The sequence below is a fragment of the Homo sapiens genome, chromosome 6 (genome assembly GCF_000001405.40).
Source record: "Homo sapiens chromosome 6, GRCh38.p14 Primary Assembly".
Classification (NCBI taxonomy): domain Eukaryota; kingdom Metazoa; phylum Chordata; class Mammalia; order Primates; family Hominidae; genus Homo; species Homo sapiens.
The window spans coordinates 12,283,893-12,306,884 of NC_000006.12; the positions used below are offsets into that span (position 1 = coordinate 12,283,893).

Below are 22,992 nucleotides of genomic sequence, written 5' to 3' on the forward strand. Positions count from 1 at the left end.
AAATCTTTCCTGCTACCCTTTAGAACCTCCATTCAGCCTCTTTCTCAAGTTGCTTTGTACATAGTGTCTTCATAGCAGCCTTGTAGGAACCTCAGCTTCCTCACCCCAATCATTGTTTTCTTTTCTCCATTTGTATTGCTTTTCCTCCGGGGGTATCTGTTAATCCTCCATCAGTCTATTGACTTATGAATATAAAATCCATGCTACCTTTACATTGGAACACATAAGGTACCTAGAATTCCTTTTGACACCTAGTGGTGGCTCGATAAACACGGATGCACATCACGTTAGAGAAAAGGAGTTTTCTGAGTCCAGATTTCTTACATGAAAACAAATTTCAAATGAATAAATTTCTCACTGTTATTTTAGGATAGCTCTCTGCCAAAGACCTTTTATTATACAAAAGTTGAGAATGATTGAAGTTATTTTGCTTAATTTTTTGCCACTAAATTTGATGTGCCAAAGAAACTTCTAAAAAACAAAAAAGAAATGCATAATATTCCCAGCTACTCAAGAGGCTGAGGTGGGAGGATTGCTTAAGCCCAGGAGGTCCAGGTTGCAGTGAGCCGTGATTGCACTCCAGCCTGGGTGACAGAGTGAGAATTTGTCTAAAAAGGAAGGAAGGAAGGAAGGAAAGAAGGAAGGAAGGAAAGAAGGAAGGAAGGAAGGAAAAGCAAGCAAGCAAGCAAGCAGGAAAGAAAGAAAGAAAGAGAAAGAAAGGAAAGAAAGAGAGAAAGAAAGGAAAGAAAGAAAAAGAAAGGGAGAAAGAAAAAGAGAGAAAGAAAGAAAGAAAGAGAGAAAGAAAGGAAAGGAAGAAAGAAAGAAGGAAAGGAAGGAAGGAAGGAAGGAAGGAAGGAAGAAAGAAAGAAAGAAAGAAAGAAAGAAAGAAAGAAAGAAAGAAAGAAACCATGAAGGTAGCTGCCGTATTTCTATGAAACCTTCCCTCCAGAATTAGTTCCTTTTAGCATCTCATTCAGACACATGGAAAGCTTGTTTAAAATGACTTCACAAATTAGACTTAATGAAGTGACTTGACTCAACTCCCCTCACCCTCAAGTGGTCTTTCCCTGCATCAGAGTCCCTTTAGTTTCGGATGTCACTCATGACATAGAATGAACATTTAAAAGATGAGGAGGCAGCCACTGGCTATCACATTTTTCTGAGATGTGTGAAATATGATTCTAATATTAATAATAATAATTAACAAACAATAATATCCTAATATAATTATTAATCATGAATTATTAATACATAATCATATCATTATTTTCTCTTAGTCTAATTTATAGGTTCAGATGTGTGCATGCATGTGTGTCAGTGGCACTCAGAGAGGAGATTTAAATAGAGAGTGGGAAGGGAGATAAAAGATAACTGCTGCAGCACTGGAGCAAGAAGCCAAGGGGAGGTATCCGTTAAAAACTTTTTGGGATGTGAACCTTTTGTTTTTCTAGATTCTGGATGCCGGAACATCTGTTTTTTGAGATGCATCTGTAGGAGCATTTTTGTGTGGAATATTTGAAAGTTATCTTGAAAGTAAAGGTCAGAGACAGGAATTGAAACAGGGCTTAATTCTTAAACAAGAAGGTATAAGATATTGCAGTTGATGGAACTGTGGTGAGCATGTTCCCCAAGGGTGGTGAGCATGTCTGTGTGGGCATAGAAGATACATGTACGAACATTTTTATTTTATTTTATTTAGATGGAGTTTCACTCTTGTTGCCCAGGCTGGAGTGCAGTGGCGCAATCTCGGCTCACCACAACCTCTGCCTCCCGGGTTCAATGATTCTCCTGCCTCAGCCTCTTGAGTAGCTGGGATTACAGGCATGCGCCACCATGCCTGGCTAATTTTGAATTTTTAGTAGACATGGGATTTCTCCATGTTGGTCAGGGTGGTCTCGAACTCCTGACCTCAGGTGATCCACTTGCCTCGGCCTCGGGATTACAAGTGTGAGCCACCATGCCCAGCCAAACATTTTTATTTTTAATAGCTTAATGAATGTATAATGATTAAATGTTTAGCATGTATTAAACTATGATTTCATGTAGTTTTTTTAACCATACCAACCATGATTTCATATGGATTATTTAAGCATACCAACCATAATTTCATGTACATTATTGCTTAAGATAGTAATGATATAAAATTTTCTTAAAATTATTCATGTAAAAGAAACAAGTCAGTTAAAAGGAAAATATTAAGTAAAAATGTACAGGTGGCACCCAAATATGGTAAAAATTGTGAAGCAGTTTAATGAATAACTGAACTTTGGGAAATGCTAGATTAGAGAATTGGAAATACTCTTTTAAATAAACACTTGCTATCTATGATTATCCTATGGATGAGTGTCCAAGAAATAGAGATGCATATGTTGTATGTTTTTAAAATGTACAGGATGAATTTACATTGACCATCATATTTCCTGTGCTAAATCAACCATTATTTTTTGGACTATAGGGAGAAGCTGTGTTTCTTCATAGCTCCTGGAGATGTGTGATGTGTCACAGGCCTAATAACTATATTACACATTTTTTCACAAAAGTGCTACATAGAGTAGAAATGTATAATAGTTACCAACCCAAGACTAAATCAGGCCTAGTGGTGTGGATAGCTTCACTTTGCCTATGATAAAATACTTCCTCATTCTTTGTGTGATTTTCAAGCAACTTAACGACTGTTAGCTTTGCTGAGCTAAATGCAACATCTCATACCAAATTTATTGGCTTGGCAAAGTTACAAATTTTATTACGCAAAAGTTGAGAAAGGAAAGCTGGAGAATGCTAAAAACAGTACAATTTGCTACTGTGTAGTATCTGTATTGGGGGCTCAGCATGTTTTATTTATAGATATCTATTAATACAGAGATACAGAAAGAAATACATAAAAAATAGTTTTATCAAATACTTTCCAGCATTCAAGTGTAGCCTCAAAAGCAAGAATAGGCCAGGAGTGGTGGCTCACGCCTGTAATCACAGCACTGTGGGAGGCCAAGGTAAGAGGATTGCTTGAGGCCAGGATTTCAAGACCAGCCTAGGCAACATAGTGAGATCCCTATCTCTACGAAAAAATTTTAAAACTTAGCTGGGCATGGTGGCTTGAGCCTGTTGTCCCAGCTACTCAGGAGGCTGAAGTAGGAGTGTCACTTGAGCCCAGGAGGTTGAGGCTGCAGTGAGCTATAACTGCACCACTGCACTCCAGCCTTGGAGACAGAGTGAGACCCTGTCCCCAAAAAAATTAAAATTGAGAAAAAAAAAAAAGGCAAGAACAGCCACAGCAAACTTTCTATTGGGGAAAAAAAAAAATCCTCCTCTTTACATCTCTCCCTTCCTTCCCTTCCCTTTCTGAGAGTGACTGTGGCCAAAAGGAGCATTTTCCCCCTGCAGTCCTCTGAGGGGTGGGGTGGGGCTATGAAGCTATCCTTCATATTCACTCCTTTGTCCAGCTCTTTTCACCTCTAGTTCTTCTCCCCGCATCTCTGTCTAGCAGTGCCTTAAGTGGAGGAGGGGTGGGGGCATCAAGCTTGTAAAACTGGTTTGTTGGGGTTCTCCTTCTCCCCTCATTTCTTGATTCTTGGGAAAATGTCTTGCTGGGAGGCTGCCTGGCAGTGCCCTAGCTGCCTTCTGTGGGCTTGAATGGGGCTTCCCTCTGCCCCTACAGGAGGAAAAGGGAGCTGCTGCCAGAGGGAGAAATGGAGAGATGGACAGAGAAGGCAGGTGCCACCCCTCGCCCCTGACACACAAAGAAAAAGACACGGAAATTCTCTCTCTCTCTTCTCTTCTCCTATCTCTCTCTCTCTCCCTCTCTCTCTCTCTCTCTCTCTCTCACACACACACACACACACACACACACACACACACACACACAGGCGCGCGCGCGCGCGCGCAGGCACACGTCTTGCAAATTCAGGATTCAAAGAGACAGGGGCACCATTATATTTGGCACGGTGGGGCCCTTCCAGGTCTGAAATCCTGCATTCTTCCTTACTATTTACTTTCCCCGAGCTCGAGAAGGGCCAGGTGTGGGCGGATGGCTGGCCACGTTTTGTGTTTCCAATTCATATTCACGGGATGACACAGACGGGGCGTGGTGAGTGCTGTTGGAGGCGCTTGGGCAGTTTCATTTTGCCCCACTTCTCCACCTGAAGGCTGGGCGTTGCTGGAACCTGCAGGGGCAGCCTCAGCAAGGTGGGGTGGCGTGGAGTGGGGTGGGAGAAGGGACTCCAGCTGAAGTAGAACCCAGGCTGGACCTGAGAATATTGGGGAGGGCATGGGCGGTGGTTTCCGGGTAGGGGCCTTGAGAACATGTTGGTCCTGACTGTTGTCAGTGTTTGGTCAAAGTTGCCAAAAGGTTAAAAAAAAAAAAGTAGGGGGAGTCCCTGCCAAGACATATTTCCCAGGCCACCTTTCTTCCGCGGGAGTGTTGGGGGGGAGGCGCTGCTTGGAACCTGTGAATGTGACATCAGCTCTCCTCTCCTCTCCCAAGGTCGGCTTTGGAGAGGGAGGTCAGGGCACCCTTGCCTGGCACAGGCGGCAGCGCTGGCTTCCGGCTCAGTGCCGCCTGTCCTCCGGGAGCTGTGGCCTCCCTGGGCCCCGGGGCTAGGCTGAGGTAAGCGCACAGCGGAGGCCAGGGGCCCCGGCAGAGGCCCTGGGGATAGGGTGGAGGCATCTCTGGGTGTGGGTGTGGGTGTGGGTGTGGGAGGGAGAGTTCTTGCCTCTCTCTCTCCCATCTCCAACTCTTGCTTCAGTGGCTCTTTTAGAGGATGCATGTCATTATGGACCTGTCGCTGCCACTGTCCCTGTTCCCCCAGCTGTGACTTCGAGGGAGGTCTGGGGATCTGAGTCTGTCCAAACCCACGGCTTTGCTGTTGGGATAAAAACTGTCCTTTTGATTTTAGAAGGAGGAGGGAAAAAAGGTTTCCCAGCATGTGTGTTGTGCCAGTCTTGGAAATTCATCCGTGCTTGAATTCCACCCTCCATCCCCAGAAAAACTGGAGTAAAACAAAAAGAGGAGATGGACAAAGTGTGTATTTGATGGCATCCCCTGGGAAGAGACTCTAAATTTATCCCATAGGTCTTACTGGGCCACTGTGAGCGCTTTGGTGGAGAACAAACAAAAATTCTGGGTGCTCAGTTGTCTAACCTGAAAAATGGGACTAGCGGAAAAAGCCAATGTGTTCCATGCACCTTTTGCTTTCTTTATTAAGGCATGATGTCACCTGTACAGTAACTGCCCTGTGTGTACTTCAGGGGGGGATTTCAAGGTTAGATAGACAGGAAATTGTTTTGAAAATGTAAACACATTATTAAATGTGAAGTATTATCTGATTCCTTGTTCGAATGGCATTTCCTTCTCAGCACCACCTTCCTTGCATATTCACTTAACCTTGTACAAGAACACCTTTTTGCCCTAAATGAAGACACCCCCCCAAAAAAAAGAGTCCCAGAAAATATGTCCCTGCTTGTGCGGGGAATAAATAGAATATTCTGAGGTGCATTCCTCCTTCCTATGTTAGGCAACATTCCTTGACCCTCCTCGGCCCCCAAGCCAGGTTGCGTTTTTTTCTGCCATTTAGAAGGGTTTTCCTTTTTGTCCTAGTAAAACATCAGCCCCTGTAGCTCTTCATCTCCCCCTGGTGTTCTTCTCCCGCCATGTCTTAAGATTGGTGGCACCGACCAATCTTAAGATTTAAGTTCTGTGTGAAAAACACCTTTGCTTTTCAATCAGTTTATCAGCCTCCTCCGCAGGGGAAGTGTGGACACACAAAAGAACTTATCGGGGCTTCTCATCAGTGATAGGGAAAAGACTGGGCATGTGCCTAAACGAGCTCTGATGTTATTTTTAAGCTCCCTTTCTTGCCAATCCCTCACGGATCTTTCTCCGATAGATGCAAAGAACTTCAGCAAAAAAGACCCGCAGGAAGGGGCTTGAAGAGAAAAGTACGTTGATCTGCCAAAATAGTCTGACCCCCAGTAGTGGGGCAGTGACGAGGGAGAGCATTCCCTTGTTTGACTGAGACTAGAATCGGAGAGACATAAAAGGAAAATGAAGCGAGCAACAATTAAAAAAAATTCCCCGCACACAACAATACAATCTATTTAAACTGTGGCTCATACTTTTCATACCAATGGTATGACTTTTTTTCTGGAGTCCCCTCTTCTGATTCTTGAACTCCGGGGCTGGCAGCTTGCAAAGGGGAAGCGGACTCCAGCACTGCACGGGCAGGTTTAGCAAAGGTCTCTAATGGGTATTTTCTTTTTCTTAGCCCTGCCCCCGAATTGTCAGACGGCGGGCGTCTGCCTCTGAAGTTAGCAGTGATTTCCTTTCGGGCCTGGCCTTATCTCCGGCTGCACGTTGCCTGTTGGTGACTAATAACACAATAACATTGTCTGGGGCTGGAATAAAGTCGGAGCTGTTTACCCCCACTCTAATAGGGGTTCAATATAAAAAGCCGGCAGAGAGCTGTCCAAGTCAGACGCGCCTCTGCATCTGCGCCAGGCGAACGGGTCCTGCGCCTCCTGCAGTCCCAGCTCTCCACCGCCGCGTGCGCCTGCAGACGCTCCGCTCGCTGCCTTCTCTCCTGGCAGGCGCTGCCTTTTCTCCCCGTTAAAAGGGCACTTGGGCTGAAGGATCGCTTTGAGATCTGAGGAACCCGCAGCGCTTTGAGGGACCTGAAGCTGTTTTTCTTCGTTTTCCTTTGGGTTCAGTTTGAACGGGAGGTTTTTGATCCCTTTTTTTCAGAATGGATTATTTGCTCATGATTTTCTCTCTGCTGTTTGTGGCTTGCCAAGGAGCTCCAGAAACAGGTAGGCACGCTCGTTGACTTGTAAGTCTCGGAATTACAAGTTAGTGTGTTCTTATCCACCTTCATGCTTTTCTTGCTTCTATTTTTCCCCGTTCTTTTTATGACTGCAGCTTAGAGAGCAAGTGTCTGAGAATTATTGCTGAAAGCTACTTTAAGTCTTCTAGTGTAAAATGTAAAATTCCTCTATTGAATACAATTAGGTGCAATTGACTATAACATGACATTAAAATAACTTATCGTTTTATTATTATTATTCCATTATGTGTTTCCTTGGCTTTTAAAAAATGAGAAGAGTATGGACATATACAATTTAGTCAAATGTATGTTTGTAATATATGTGTTTATACAGGTACACAGGCCATATAGGAACTTAAATCTTATTTAAACACTATTTTAATAGTGTGTTAACGTGTAAAATATTTAAGCATTCCAGCTTGAAGCCAAGGAATTGTATCCAGTCGTTCAAGCAATGTATGTTCAGTAAAATCACCTGCAGAGCAAAAGTCTGTTGACTAACTACCGCCTCCCCCCCCCCCCGCCACCACCCCCCGCAGGCGGTTTCTGGGTGAAGCAGATGTTTTCTTTAAAATTTGTCATCATTGACTTTAGGTTTCTTTTGGCAGGTTTTTGGCACCCAAAACAGTGTGAGCTCTCTTTTCAGCTTTATTCACCTGTGCTGGGAGGGGAGCTAGGATAATTCTTGGCTGCCGAAGGATTTAGGCAGTGCGTGTGCATCTGCCCGGGTCCCCCCCGTTTTTAGGGTCAGTGCACTTTTTTTGTCTTTTCGTGACCCTGACTAAAGAGAAAGGATGTCAAGGGAATGAAAATCCTGGAATGTGTCTGATCATTTGAAATGTACAAAATTGGGCAGATAAGCTGCATGGCTAAATTGTTAGGAGGAAGAGGCAAGGCAGTAGTGGAGAAGGGGGAGGCAGTGGATCCCACACAAGCCTGATGCCCAGGGATTCGGAATTCAAAATCCCCCCAGCCTACCTTCAGTCCCCTGACCTGCTTCTCAGCCCCACCTTAGGTCACTGGTTTCTATGGAGTTACCCTCCTGAATTGAATATTGAATAGTTAATTTCTCTCTCCAATCATTTTCCCCACCTAATTTTGAAAGATATACATCATCTGGGGTACCCTGTGCCCTACACAGCATGTGAAGTGGATGGGTACCCCCTAAAGAGAGGGTCATCCTGAATGGGGAAGTGGCCCCAAAGCTAGGAATAACTGTGATTTCTTGTCTTTAGTCATGTGCCAATGTTAAGTAAGCTTCAGTGGATAGTGCTGTCCTACCAAGTTCCTTGTAGAAGCCAGCCGGATTTTCAACAGGCAGCATTCCACAGCATTTCCCTGAGCCTGCTTCAAGAGGGGTGGGGGAAGTCCCTTTTCAGGTGTTTATCTCCTCTGCATTTGTGTAATCTCCCTGAAGGTGGATAAGCCAAGGGCATGAGGGGGAGGCAAAAGGTGAACTCATGTTAAGGAGGGAAAAAAATAAAGAGCCCTTTTTTCTGTGTTTCTTGCTGATGGCAGGCTGTGTGCTTCATCTGCTTTTATCTGCTCTGCTAGCTCTGACTCTACTGTGATCCAGCATGTCTCTCGGCGTTTGAGGAGACATCCCCCACTGACCTGCTCTTTCTCTCCCCAGCAGTCTTAGGCGCTGAGCTCAGCGCGGTGGGTGAGAACGGCGGGGAGAAACCCACTCCCAGTCCACCCTGGCGGCTCCGCCGGTCCAAGCGCTGCTCCTGCTCGTCCCTGATGGATAAAGAGTGTGTCTACTTCTGCCACCTGGACATCATTTGGGTCAACACTCCCGAGTAAGTCTCTAGAGGGCATTGTAACCCTAGTCATTCATTAGCGCTGGCTCCACTGGAGCCCAGTTTTAGAGTTTCTTTTCTAGGGACTCTGAAGGTAGTCCTTCTAACACCATCCAAGTGCCTCAGTGGGGACAGTTTCCCTCTATTCCTGAAAATAACGACAGCTTCGTTCTTAGCAACCAAGGGGAGGGTCTTCTGAGGCCCCGTAGCTCAGGCTACTCATGATGGGACAAGCAGGAGGCCACTGCACGTTTCAAATGAGGAACTTTCAGTGAGAGGGCCTCAGGGGGACACTCTCACAGTGGCATCTGATGGGGTTTCGGGAATAATTGCCGAGGTCAGATGTGGGTTAGTGCAACCTGTGCTTCTCATGGGAGGGTGGAGACTGAGAGGCAGAAGTGATGATATAGAGGGTTAGAATCACTTAATTTTACTTACAGAAAAACCTAGGCTCAAAGTGTTGAAGCCATTTGTGCAGGAGTGAGTTTGTAGCAGAGCTAGAACTGGAGCCCGGATTTCCTTTGCTGCTATATTTTCCCTTTAGAAATGCCCATTTCAGAACTGAAATAGAAATACTGTCCATAGGCTTCTCTTTCACCTACAGAGAAGAAAAGCAGATTTCCTCCTTCTGCCCTGGACACTAGTTCATCATCTGTCGGAAGCAGTCATAAACAAGCACACATTTACTATGCATACAATGTACCGTTATGACAAAGGAGGACCAAAATCCAAACAATATCAAACCACACCAAAAACCACAAGGAGCCTAATAATTACTAAGGTGATACTTCCAAAGGGAGGACTTTATTTCTTAGATGAGAATGAAAATGGACACATTGGAAATTATTGGAGAGCCCTCTGGCTATGAGTCCTTCCACAACCATATGGTACCACCGACTGGCAGGAGAAATGTGTGAACATGTGCCTCCTCCTCCCCCAACCACTGGGGTCGGTGGGGTGACGGTGGCACTTTTAGCAGTATCCTCCGTGGTTTGAGTTGAAAATAAGTTTTAAAAATCCTGTGAGTCATGGTTTTGCATTGAAACCTCTTCCCACTGTGTACCCACAAATAGTTAACTAAATAGACCATTAGAAAAGGAAGAAAATATAAAGCAGATGCCAAGCAGAGATGTCCTAATTTTTGACAAAAAAGCAATGTTGCTTGTGTCAAGAAGAAACTGAACTTTGTGAAGAGTTGAAATGGAATTCCACTGAATTAGAAAAACTTGTTTTCTCCTGCCTGGATACATACAGTCAGGGCCATTGATGCACAGGTGTTCCTGGCTGTTGTTACACTTTACCCTCTGAAATGATGCTCCCAAGTGCTATGTGATGAGCTCCTTGTGTGCCCAGTGGAATAGGTGTGTCCATGTGTCATTTTAAAGACTATTAATTACACTAATATAGTTTCTTTCTCTCTTTGGATAATAGGCACGTTGTTCCGTATGGACTTGGAAGCCCTAGGTCCAAGAGAGCCTTGGAGAATTTACTTCCCACAAAGGCAACAGACCGTGAAAATAGATGCCAATGTGCTAGCCAAAAAGACAAGAAGTGCTGGAATTTTTGCCAAGCAGGAAAAGAACTCAGGTGAGCAGAAACACCTTTGCTTTTCAATCAGTTTAACAGCCTCCTGAACTCCTTCCTATCATGGTACTGCCTTCCTGTTTTAGAGAGACTAACAGAGACATTGAAAGTCAGGGTAAAGCTGAATATAACATTGCTGAAATGTTTTTCCTTGTGTATTTTAACAGGGCTGAAGACATTATGGAGAAAGACTGGAATAATCATAAGAAAGGAAAAGACTGTTCCAAGCTTGGGAAAAAGTGTATTTATCAGCAGTTAGTGAGAGGAAGAAAAATCAGAAGAAGTTCAGAGGAACACCTAAGACAAACCAGGTAAGAGGGAAGGAAGAAAAATTAGGTAAGAGGTTCACAAGAACAACTAGCCCCAGTCAGTGATGCCAGCAGCCTGTTCCTCCAGCCCTTCTTACCCGGGCAGGTGAAAGACTTAGAAAACAGTAGCAGAGGAGATCTATGCATCCTATAGATTAAAAGGAGCAAAAGAATCCCTCTTAAATATTTCCATGAAGCTCTGGAATGCAAACCGATGTCCTCTGTACTTTTAGCACATACCATTTCATCTACAGGTAGATTTCCCAACCAAAATATATCCAGAGATGCCTTTGTCATTGGGTTATATACAGCCTTTGCCTCTCTGAGTCAATGTATTTACCACTTTCCCTGAGAAATCGAAAATCATTTTGGGGAGCGGACATTTAGAAAAAGAATCAAAGTGTCATGGATAATCAAATTCTTCAATAAGTTGCAGTTATTCAGATGGCCAAAGGAAAAATAAAGTCATTAGATAGGGTTGGTAGAATTTAGAACATGCTGTTTTTCAGGTTTATGGTCTTTTTTTTTTTTTTTTTTTTAAATAGGGAAATGTGTTTGGTGCAGAGCCAATGTCATTCCAAAAAGCTCTCTCTTTTCCTGGTCAGTCATGTGCTGGGACAGAGAAGGGATCTGGATTAGGCAACATCATAGAGTTGCTCTGAGCTGCTCTTTGGTGATAACCCTTCCAAATCCTAAACTTTTTGGAATTCACAAGCTCAAAGGAGGAAACCTACTCTCTGATCTACCACATGTTCTGCATTTTTCTATCATGGTCTATGGAAACTTCTCTTAGAAATCCAGTGGCAAGAAGTTCTATGATTAAAGTGTTCTGAGCTCAGGCCAGGCAGTCATGAACTACTTCTGAGTTATTTACTACTGATTTGTGGGGCAGCCTCAGCTATCGGTTTCTTCACACCTGCTTATGAGAGTATCCATATTTATGGTCGCAGGCCAGTAATGCTCCCCACGAGATCAGTTTCTGAACTAACCTGGAATTTTTTATGGGTTTTTATTATGCCAACTATTAAATCAACATTACAGTTCTTCCCTCTGTATTTCTCCTGTAAAACATTAGGCCTGCAAAAAAAAAAAATCTTTTTAAAAATAATTGCCATAAAGTATTTGCTCTGGGCCTACTGTATGCTTCTTTTCTTTTTCTCTCTTTTCAACTAAGTCACCGTCAATTTATTAAGATGGCCATAACTATTCAAAACCTATGCTGAGTTCCTCAAGGCAGGGTCACATAGTGATGAAGGTTGGGATGGGGCTACGGAAGAAACCAGAACAACTCTAGTTTATTTAAAACCTGTATTTACTGCCCACTTCCCCTTAGACTTGACCATATGACCCCTCGCTCCCATTCTAAGCATAGGGGCAGGCTTTATTTTTACAATGGTAATAGATATCACTTGAGGTTTTATCAAAGAGTTGCGGCGGGTGGTGAAAGTTCACAACCAGATTCAGGTTTTGTTTGTGCCAGATTCTAATTTTACATGTTTCTTTTGCCAAAGGGTGATTTTTTTAAAATAACATTTGTTTTCTCTTATCTTGCTTTATTAGGTCGGAGACCATGAGAAACAGCGTCAAATCATCTTTTCATGATCCCAAGCTGAAAGGCAAGCCCTCCAGAGAGCGTTATGTGACCCACAACCGAGCACATTGGTGACAGACCTTCGGGGCCTGTCTGAAGCCATAGCCTCCACGGAGAGCCCTGTGGCCGACTCTGCACTCTCCACCCTGGCTGGGATCAGAGCAGGAGCATCCTCTGCTGGTTCCTGACTGGCAAAGGACCAGCGTCCTCGTTCAAAACATTCCAAGAAAGGTTAAGGAGTTCCCCCAACCATCTTCACTGGCTTCCATCAGTGGTAACTGCTTTGGTCTCTTCTTTCATCTGGGGATGACAATGGACCTCTCAGCAGAAACACACAGTCACATTCGAATTCGGGTGGCATCCTCCGGAGAGAGAGAGAGGAAGGAGATTCCACACAGGGGTGGAGTTTCTGACGAAGGTCCTAAGGGAGTGTTTGTGTCTGACTCAGGCGCCTGGCACATTTCAGGGAGAAACTCCAAAGTCCACACAAAGATTTTCTAAGGAATGCACAAATTGAAAACACACTCAAAAGACAAACATGCAAGTAAAGAAAAAAAAAAGAAAGACTTTTGTTTAAATTTGTAAAATGCAAAACTGAATGAAACTGTTACTACCATAAATCAGGATATGTTTCATGAATATGAGTCTACCTCACCTATATTGCACTCTGGCAGAAGTATTTCCCACATTTAATTATTGCCTCCCCAAACTCTTCCCACCCCTGCTGCCCCTTCCTCCATCCCCCATACTAAATCCTAGCCTCGTAGAAGTCTGGTCTAATGTGTCAGCAGTAGATATAATATTTTCATGGTAATCTACTAGCTCTGATCCATAAGAAAAAAAAGATCATTAAATCAGGAGATTCCCTGTCCTTGATTTTTGGAGACACAATGGTATAGGGTTGTTTATGAAATATATTGAAAAGTAAGTGTTTGTTACGCTTTAAAGCAGTAAAATTATTTTCCTTTATATAACCGGCTAATGAAAGAGGTTGGATTGAATTTTGATGTACTTATTTTTTTATAGATATTTATATTCAAACAATTTATTCCTTATATTTACCATGTTAAATATCTGTTTGGGCAGGCCATATTGGTCTATGTATTTTTAAAATATGTATTTCTAAATGAAATTGAGAACATGCTTTGTTTTGCCTGTCAAGGTAATGACTTTAGAAAATAAATATTTTTTTCCTTACTGTACTGATTTGGAATCATTACTGAAATTTGTAAGGAGTGGGCCAACGTGATTAAGTACCATAAAGGCAAATAAATGGTTAAAGACGGTTTCATAGAAAAGTGACAATTAGAAGGATATTACGGTCTAAGCTAATTATATAAAGAATTTTATCTGTATCTTAAATGTTGATTTTATACTGCATTGAGGTAAAAACACAAAACAAAAAAGCAGCTTTAACACCTCTGTCTTCTCTTGGGTAGCAGCCTCCTGCTTCTCCTTCACCTGAAAAATTCTCCAGGGACTTCATCCATTAACTTGGCTCAGGCTATTAGGCAGGATTCAACAGTTTAAGCTGATGGTGTGGTGAGAGATGCTTTATCCATATTAATGGACTGAAGGAAGTAATGGCAAGACAACCCCCCAAAACATACCTAATTATACAAAGTTATATACCAAAGTTGCTTTTAGAAAATGGCCTGCTCAGAGCAAGTAGAGGTTTCCAATGGCTTTTTATTTTCTCACATTAAGGATGTTGTTTCTTAAGGAACATTGAGTACCATTGCTTCTTCGTGATAGCCTAGGACTGGCCGTGTGCCCATGGAGGTAGAGACACCAGGTACTGATTCTAGGTCCTCTGCCACAAAGCACCACTTCCTCTCCACTTTGCCTTGGCTGGCCTTGTCAGCTCACTGGAGAGCACAGTATTGCAATTGCAGTATTGCAAATGGTCACTACTAACTGAATTCTCTAAGAGCTTGATTAGCCCTCGAGAATCTTCCTTGCCCTTCTCTAATAGTGTCTGAAGGAATTCCTGGCATTTAACAAATATTAGCATGTAGTGATCACTGTCGTCCTAACAGTGACACATCAGAAGGATTTCAAATAACAGTCTTCAGGCATGCGTAATCAATGTCCTGTGCAGAGTCTCCGTCCTCATTGATCCTCATTTTTCTCTTTAAGGCACAGTCCAATGTCTTTGGGGAATTGTTTATAAAGCTTACTTTATCCATAAACTGTTTCTCAGTGCGTGACTCTGAAGAAAATTTTGAAGTTTTGCCCATGTTGACAAGGTGCTTGGTCTGAACTTGGCCAGTATTTAATCTTGAGCAAACGATTCAATTTCCTTCTATCGTGAGTTTTCTCATCTATGAAACAAGGGAGTTGAGGGGAGTTTCTTTCATACCTCTGAGAAAGAGTTTGAGATTACATAAAGAAGTTGAAGTGGCATGAAAAAAAATAAAGATCTGAGCTTAGAAGACATGGATCTAATACATTTAAGAGGAAGTCAGAATCAGAGAAGCCACTGAACAAAACAGTCCAAAGGACAGCATAGTAAGTCAGATTGATGAGTTTTGGTTGGGTTTTTCATCAGTCAAACCCTTGAGCCCCCCTTTCCCATGCTTCCTGCTTCAGTATCCAGTAGGAAAAATGAAAGGGATGATGTAGACACTCTAGGGCATGAGGATTTGCAGTAAATAAGTTGGGAGACTCACAGAAAATTAATATTTTTCAAACATGAAGACGAAACATTCAATTATATTACAGTCCACATCAGCTTGAAGGGTAAACTGATGGGATGGTCTGTCACATTTCTTGCTCTGTTTCCAGTAAAAGCATGGTTTCTGGAAACCCACTTAGGACAGCTTTCTCTCTTTACACTGATAGCCCAGGCAAGCTTTGATCTCAGAACTCCAGAAACCAGAGAACTCTAGGTGGAATGTGGTAACTTTTGCCAGGGCAGAGGGAACACCTACTAATAGGTACTTCATTTGCACCACCAGAGATTGGCATCTTTTTTGATGGATCCACTGGCTTTGATACTGCCTGTACTCCCCCAAAACACAGCTTGGGTATTGGACTAATCTAGAGCTCCCTCAGGAGAACTCTTGCTGACATTAAGAAAGAGCAACATTTTGTCTTTCCAGGTGAAAATCCAAGGCCCAAAAAGGGAGGTGACTCACCTAAGATCACAGAAGGAGCTGTAGCATCTCTGGAGCCTGAACACTTAAGTTAAGCACGACTATTTCAGCCAGAGGGCCCCTGGAGGTCTGCAGAAACAGATGCCCAGGCAAACCTTGCTAGAAGGCTCTGGGTACTAAAGCCAAAATCAGTCTTTCTGAAAGCTTTGCCTCCCAGCCTTGTAGACAGTGCTAGCAGACCCATCCCCTCAAGAGGAAAGAGAAGAAATGCAGGGGAAGAAAAAAGGACTATAAGGAGGCTATCTCATGGCATCGTTAAGTAAATGTCTATAGGATAAAATAGAATATAACCAAGAATTTTTAATTATTATTTTTAGACTTTACTCACCAAAGAATCTATCTGAGTGAAGGGGGAAATCTCTCGGTCAGTTCTCTTTTTTTTTTTTTTTTTTTTTTTTTTTGAGATGGAGTTTTGCTCTTGTTGCCTAGGCAGGAGTGCAATGGCGCTATCTCAGCTCACCACAACCTCTGCCTCCTGGGTTCAAGCGATTCTCCTGCCTCAGCCTCCTCAGTAGCTGAGATTACAGGCATGTGCCACCATGCCCGGCTAATTTTGTATTTTTAGTAGAGACGGGGCTTCTCCGTGTTGGTCAGGCTGGTCTCGAACTCCTGACCTCAGGTGATCCGCCCACCTTGGCCTCCCAAAGTCCTGTGATTACAGGCGTGAGCCACTGTGCCTGGCCCGGTCAGTTCTCTTTTACTCTACAATGCAAGGCAGTGGTCTGCTTTTTTTTTTCCCCCTCTCTGTTTCTAAGGTCTTGAAAATGCCTGTTTTCACATTTAAGTTCTCAATGTGTAAAACACTGCTTTCAAGCTTATGTTCTTAATAGAGTCCCTTCTGCATTGGCTTTATCTCACCTTTATACTCACAGTTCCTGGGGACTTTGGGTCTGGAGCTCAGAATTTATCTACTGCAAGTGAATGTTACACATTTCACAGTAACCTCTCATCTTTGTAGATAATTTGGTTTCCTGTAGCTTTTCACATCCTTTCTCTCATTCGACCCCTACCCTCACACAACAATCCTTTCGGGAAGCTGGAACCATATCATGTATCCATCAGCCAACCAAGGAAAGAGACATATCGAGAGGGTGAGTGACTCATCCAGAGTCCAACATCAGGCAAATAGCAAGACCAGAACCCGGGACCCCTGACCCTTTCTTCTTAAACTCCTCCAGAGCCAAGGGGATACACTGGACCTGCAACTTGGACTAACGTAGATTATTTCCAGCTTGTGAGTGAACTGTGAGTGGAATGAACTTGTTCTTATTCTCTTAGGAAGATCAAAGCTCCGTATGTACCCTGAGCCCTAGTTTTGAACGTCTCTGTCGTATGATTATTTGTTTACTGCATCATTCTTGTTATGACAATGCATGGTTGGCAGAAAACTTGCTGGCATTTACAAAGCTTGCCTCAAATCTGGTGCCATGAAGCCATGACAACTTCATTGACAACTACTGGCCACAGAGCCAATACATCGGAGGAAATAGAGTGATGAATGTGATGGCAGCGGCCATCAAATTTCCTCAAATCTTGGGCAGTAATCAGAGAGAGAGCTAGGGCTGGTGCCACTAGGTAGTAAAAAGAGAAGGGCTTCGGCCTTGGAGACAATGAATGATGGAAATGTTGGGTCCCAGGGATGACAGGCTGCCCGTAGCTCAGAAAGGCAGCACATCGGGAGTCCGGCATGCAGTTTTGCCCGTTTAGAGTTTTCTGGGTTTCTGCATCCTATTGTTATTTTTCACATTCCGAGTCATTCCAGTCCCCTTCTGTGTAAGTTGCTGTGGAAGTATCCAGGGCTAATAATCACAATATTAAGCGGCCATTGACATGGCATGGGCACTGACCAATTAGAAAAAGCTGGGACAGAGCTGTTGGGCAGGCTCCTGATAGACTCTGGCTGGGCTAGGTCTTCAACCTCCTGATGTTGGCCTGTAGGGGACCTTGTGATCTGGGACAGGGGTGGGCAGCCAGGGTGGAATTTCCAAGCTTCTTGTTGCTAGGGCTATTTACTAACCAGGATGAAATCATTTCACTGTTTTACAGACTAGAATAGTCTCACTGGTATGTGCTCCTGTGTACGTCAGATTTAAAAGTATCGAAACCATTCTCTGCTTGATAAATTATTCTCTTTACAGCTTCACTGAGTGAGATGACATTATCTTCATGCCTGCGGAGGTTTGGCACCAAATCTTTCTGCTCATGCACCTTTGGTGTCCTGCTGCACAGTCATCTCTGGGCAATGCCCCTCTCTCTGCATGTTCCCCTCCCTCGTGCTCTGGTGCCCTATGGGAGAAGTAAAAAGACCTTAAGGGTCTCCTTGTCTCCTTGGAGATTTTACTTTAAATTTTTTTTTTATTTTATGTGTTTTCTATTTCAATAGCTTTAAGTGGTACAAGTGGTTTTTAGTTACATGGATGAATTGTGTAGTGGTGAAGTCTAGGATTTTAGTGCATCCCTTACTCAAGTAGCGTGCACTGTACCCAGTAGGTAGTTTTTCAGCCCTCAACCCCTCCTATCCTCCCCAACTTCTGGGTCTCCAATGTCCATTATACCATTCTGTATGCCTTTGTGTACCCATAGCTTAGCTCCTACTTATAAGCGGGAACATGTTGCATTTGATTTTCAATTGCTGAGTTACTTCACTAAGAATAATGACCTCCAGTTCCAACCAAGTTGCTGCAAAAGACATCATTTAGCTCTTTTTTATGGCTGAAGAGTATTCCATGGTATATATATATTACATTTTCTTGGCCTTCTCATCAGTTGATGAGCACTTAGGTTGATTCCATACCTTTGCAATTGTGAATTGTGCTGTGATAAACATACTCACGCAGGTGTGTTTTTGATGCATTGACTTCTTTTCCTTTATGTAAATTCCAAGTAGTGGGATTGGCGGATAGAATGGTAGATCTACTTTTTAGTTCTTTGAGAACTCTCCATACTGTTTTCCACAGAGGGTGTATGAATTTACATCCTTCTTGGAGATTTTTAGCAGGGCAATTTTGTGGTTGCCAAAGTCAAGATCTGCCTTAGACCAGGTCTTCCTAGGGCCCTAGCTCTGCAATAGGAAGGAGCAAGAGGGACGAGCTGCCTGTAAGATTAAATCTTGCCCTCTTAGATTAATTTGGGACTAGGAAAGGGTGGCCCCATAATTTACTATTTAAACTGGGACATATTTGACAGCACTTAGTGACATTCTTAACAATTCTCACGGAGCTACACATTGGACTGTTGTGGACAAACTTGGACATATGGTCATCTTAGATCAAAATAAGCCTTGAATCAGTTCAGAATTTCAGAACCGCCTTTGCTTCTTGGATGTGCTTGGCACTGTGTAAGCACACGCAATGTCTGTATGCCTTTACCTGCAGACCAGGCTGCAGCAGAGCACCTCCCCCTTTTCTGGTGCCTACAGCCTCAAGTTCAGAGCTTAGGGCATAATATATCATTCAATAAATGCTTATTCAATGGATGAATAAATACAGAGGTGAGTTCCACTGTTCAGTAAGAGCGGGGTGAAAGTGATACTCTTCTAGCCAGAATGCGACTAGACAACAGAAGATTTATAAGACCCATTTCCAGGGCTCTCTTTGCAGAGCTGCCATAGCTGAAATCTTCTTTTATTGAGGCTCCACGCTAGTGGTAAATTATTTGACACAATGGGGTATTCTTTCTACTTCTTTCTACTCCAACCCATCCTGCATTTCACCATAATCATAATAACAATAATCTTCTCCAAATGCTTTAATTATAATTTCAATAAATACAGAGCTAGAAGGAAATTAAAAATAATTTTGGCTATTACCCTCATCTCAAAAACCTTCCACTGCCACTCTGCCTATACAATAAAAATATGCTATCTACTGAGACAGGCACCAGACTAGGAAGAAAGGTTGGGAAATGTTACAATTTCAGTATTGAGCATATTAAGTTTTAAATTTTTCATCATAGTGTGAAAGTTGTCAGAGTCAAATGAAGTCACCTGTGTTAGGAACCCTGACAAATGGAGCCAGGAAAGGCCATAAAGGGAGAATTCTCACACACAAATGCCTGATAACCAAAGCTATCACAGAATACTTTGCAAAAACCACAATCTTGCACAAAGGCCATCACAACCTTACACAAAAAATACTTCAGTGAAGTTATCTGCCCAGCAACTGCCTGTCTAGCCTCGGACTGGTGCCACCCTTGTTATTGATAACTGTAGCCAAGAATAATGATCTCAAAACAATTACGTTATCCTCCTGATTTTTCCTTTAACAATCTTTGTTTTGCTTTACCTCCTCGAATACGCACATAGTTTACTATGGCATGTGTATTTTCATTGCAATGTCCATCCCTGAATAAAAATAATTTTCTTTTCATTTATTAATGTATTTGTTTTTTGAAACTGGGTCTCCCTCTGTCACCCAGGCTGGAGTGCAATGGCACAATCACAGCTCACTGTAGCCTTGACCTCCCAGGCTCAAGTGACCCTCCCACCTCAGCCTCCTAAGTAGCTGGGACCACAGGTGTACACCACCATGCTCAGCTAATTAAAAAACATTTTTGTAGAGATAGGGTCTTCCTATGTTGCCCAGGCTGGTTTTGAACTCCTGGGCTCAAGCAATCTTCTCGCCTTGGCCTCCCAAAGTGCTGGGATTACTGGAGCTGTTGTGCCCAGCTCAATTTCTTTTAGGGAGTCTCTCTGTCTGTTATCTAGGTTGACAGTGGTTATCTTCAAATATATCCAACAGTTGAGAGAATAGTATAACTCTAAAGCCAATATACCTAGCATATAGTTTATATAGTTGTTGAGATATGCTGGGTGTTGCTTTATCTCTACCTGCATCCTGCCCTCCTTCCTTGAATTACTTTGAAGCCAATCCCAGCTATCATTATCATCTTACCTATAAATATTTCAGTGTAGTTGTAATAAACTTGATATGCTTTGCTCGATCAGGTAAAATGTGAAATAGTCAACTAGATATGTGGACCTAGAGCTTACAGTGGATGAAGAACTCACAATAACAAACGCCTCACGGAACTCACAATAACGAAAGAGACAATGCATGTTGATAGCTTGTGTTTATGTGGTGCTTACTAATATCCCAGACAGTCTTTTGAGAACTTTGCATGCATCAGCTCATTTTATTCTTACTAAAACACTATGAGGTATTTATCCTATGTTGCAGATGAGGAAACTTGAAGACAGAAATTCAGTAGTAACTTATGCAAGGTCAGGCAGCTAGTGAAGAGGTAAGAACCAGGTAACCTCATTCACTATGCTTTTTTGATTCAGAAGAATCCAAAGTGATAAAGGTTACATTATGGGATAATCAAGTCCTATGATGGTATCAAAGTGACAGTGATCAACTCTGCCTGGGGACAGGGAAGGGAAGTGGTGGTTTCAGGGAAGGTTTCATGTAAAGAAACAGTGAAAAATCAGCCTTGAATTCCTAAGAAGGATACCATTTGAGAAATTTAAAGCTGAATCAAAGGCGTGAAGAAGTCTCAATAAAATGCTTTGTCGATAGATGACTTGATAAAAAGAACATAACCTAACATGCTCATGTGACTGACTCATAAGAAAAGTAAGCAGGTATCTAGATCATTAAAAGATGATTTATCTTGCAATAATCCAATGATATTGGAAATCTTAAAGCAACACAACAACACTAGGACAGAAATCTCTAATTTTCAAGTGGCATTGATTGAACTGAAATTTTGAGGTATGACTAAAAATAGCAAGAAAGCAATTCTAACAGATTTTCACTAAATTTTCAGAAGTTAACTACATTTAACATTATAATACAATGAAATAATTCCACTGAAAATCACTGTACTTACTGAATGTAAGCTTATTTTATAGTTCAAATGCCCTATCAACCTCCTACTCTTTAATGCATGGTCACAAATGACCTCTCACCATGTCAAGAATTCCCTCTTGATGTATGGATAGGAATAACCCACCTGTCAACTTAGGTGTCTTCCTTGTGTTTGAACAATTTGCTAAGGTACCATTACCAATCGACCCTGCTCTGACATTGGTCACCGGTGTGGTTCTTTCCATATAACCTCATCGTTTTGCCCTGATCAGCGGCCACAGGCAGGCAGTAACCGTTGGTTTGGTGAAAGACAAAATGCCCTAGACAATTAAGGAGATGATCTTATTCAGGCTACTACAATAAGGAAAATGTTCATTAATGAAGACTGTCTCAAGGAAAGGAAGGAAACCTGGGGTTTCATAGAGACAGTAAACAAGGGAGCAACTGAATCTTTTGGTAGTCATGAGGATGGAGATGGTCTTTTCTTAACCATGAAGAAAGGGTGGAAAGGAAGAGGCTCGAGCAGGGTGTTTCCTTGCAGTTAGCCATTTCTCAGGACACAAAGAATGAGGAGATATTTTGAGGGACACAGGACTCAGATAAATTTCTTCATTGTCAGTCCCTGGTTTTTTTCAAGATGAATATCATTCATCAAGGAAACACTCAATGACAATCATAAATCTCCTGAGTGGGGTGAAGTAAGGTCTCAGAAATCATTTCTCAAAGAGTCTTAGTGTTATTCGGACAAAGACAGTTGAAGCATCTGTAGAAAGATAATGTCAAGGTCAGTTGTGTTGGGATTCTGGGGACTAGGCACCGTAAAAGAGGATTGCTTAAAAAGAAAAAGAGAAATATAAGTATAAAAGGTTTACTAAAGAGCCAGAAATTGAATAATGAGGGTAACCAGTTCAGTGGATTCCAAGAGGTCAGTGGAGGAAAATCTTTCAGTTCTGTAACACTGCTCTTTGAGTCTCTTAGAGCTACTGAATAGGACATCAGTGCTTTCAGTGGTGCTGTCCACAGGGCATGTCTGACTCTAGCATTCCACAGGCTTCTTAGTGGCCCAGGCAGTGCCTTTCCAGGGAGAAACTGGGCCCATGAATGGTCTGCTACAGTGGTGAGTCCTTTGAAGTATATATAGCAAATTTTAGCTTATAATGCTTCTTCAGATCCTAGGGAAAAGGACCCAGATACAAGACAACCTTGAGTCCTTACAGGGATCCGGGTAGTCAGATTTTAGTTCTCGGTGACACTGAGTCAGGCAGCAGTGAGAAAAATTGAAAAAACTGTTGGAAACCAGAAAGATTGAAGATCTGAAAAGGATTGATAATTTGGGAAGTTTACAGGATCCAGTCCAACTTACAGATAGGTACAAAAACTAACAGCTAGGGAGAAAGTCAATTACAATTCCACCAGACAAGACAGTTTGCCTATTAATCATTACTCACATTAAAAAAAAACCCAAACAGCTCAAAAACAATGAACAAGGTTAGAATGAGATAACCTGGGAGACTGTGCTATCTGATGTATAGTTTTTCATTAAAATGCAAAATTTATTTGTGTAGTCACTGACTCTTGATCAAGAATAATCTCAAAGAAAGATTATTCTTGCCATTACAAGCCATCTCATTAGATCTAGAATGGTTATTCAGATTGGTACAGCAAGAATGGTAATTTACCATATTGGCCTTTTAAGTTTGCTTTTTGGAAATTTTCATAAGGAGGCTCAGATTGGACTGTTAAAAAAAATCTCTCTAGACAGGAAGCCAAGCCAATAACTTGCTACCAGATTTCACCTGTCAAGTACCTATAAATCTGGGCAAATTTATTTTTTCTTCAAGTCCCCCAAATATCCTAGGATTCCTAGGCATGCCAGGAAAGGACCTTCTTTACCTCTTTACTCACCTAAAAGGAAGAGGATCTG

At 42.5% G+C, this 22,992-nt stretch overlaps 1 protein-coding gene across 5 annotated transcripts in view, besides 4 other annotated features; it reads left to right on the forward strand.

Moving 5' to 3' along the window:
- EDN1 (endothelin 1) overlaps positions 1–13,302 on the forward strand; it is a 66,679-nt gene extending 53,377 nt beyond the window's left edge. The window contains exons 1-6 of one of the 5 annotated variants that reach the window (NM_001416564.1): positions 4,127–4,182; positions 6,737–6,801; positions 8,449–8,617; positions 10,049–10,204; positions 10,369–10,512; positions 12,070–13,302. In NM_001416564.1, coding sequence (NP_001403493.1) covers positions 6,738–6,801; positions 8,449–8,617; positions 10,049–10,204; positions 10,369–10,512; positions 12,070–12,175 — 639 coding nt within the window. In that variant the 5' untranslated portion in view covers positions 4,127–4,182; position 6,737 and the 3' untranslated portion in view covers positions 12,176–13,302. Of the gene's footprint in view, positions 1–4,126; positions 4,183–6,121; positions 6,232–6,468; positions 6,802–8,448; positions 8,618–10,048; positions 10,205–10,368; positions 10,513–12,069 lie in introns of those variants that run through there. The other 4 variants (NM_001416563.1, NM_001416565.1, NM_001955.5 and 1 more) reach the window with 4 other exon arrangements.
- Positions 4,077–4,577: an enhancer, noted in NCBI's record as "H3K4me1 hESC enhancer chr6:12288202-12288702 (GRCh37/hg19 assembly coordinates)". NCBI's record gives its function as "activates a minimal SCP1, AML or CMV promoter by ChIP-STARR-seq in primed H9 embryonic stem cells {active_cell/tissue: H9 hESC(primed)}" and the evidence as "EXISTENCE:reporter gene assay evidence [ECO:0000049][PMID:30033119]".
- Positions 4,578–5,078: an enhancer, noted in NCBI's record as "H3K4me1 hESC enhancer chr6:12288703-12289203 (GRCh37/hg19 assembly coordinates)". NCBI's record gives its function as "activates a minimal SCP1, AML or CMV promoter by ChIP-STARR-seq in naive and primed H9 embryonic stem cells {active_cell/tissue: H9 hESC(naive and primed)}" and the evidence as "EXISTENCE:reporter gene assay evidence [ECO:0000049][PMID:30033119]".
- Positions 6,222–6,321: an enhancer, noted in NCBI's record as "active region_24014". NCBI's record gives its function as "activates an Ori minimal core promoter by ATAC-STARR-seq in GM12878 lymphoblastoid cells {active_cell/tissue: GM12878}" and the evidence as "EXISTENCE:reporter gene assay evidence [ECO:0000049][PMID:35858748]".
- Positions 6,332–6,401: an enhancer, noted in NCBI's record as "active region_24015". NCBI's record gives its function as "activates an Ori minimal core promoter by ATAC-STARR-seq in GM12878 lymphoblastoid cells {active_cell/tissue: GM12878}" and the evidence as "EXISTENCE:reporter gene assay evidence [ECO:0000049][PMID:35858748]".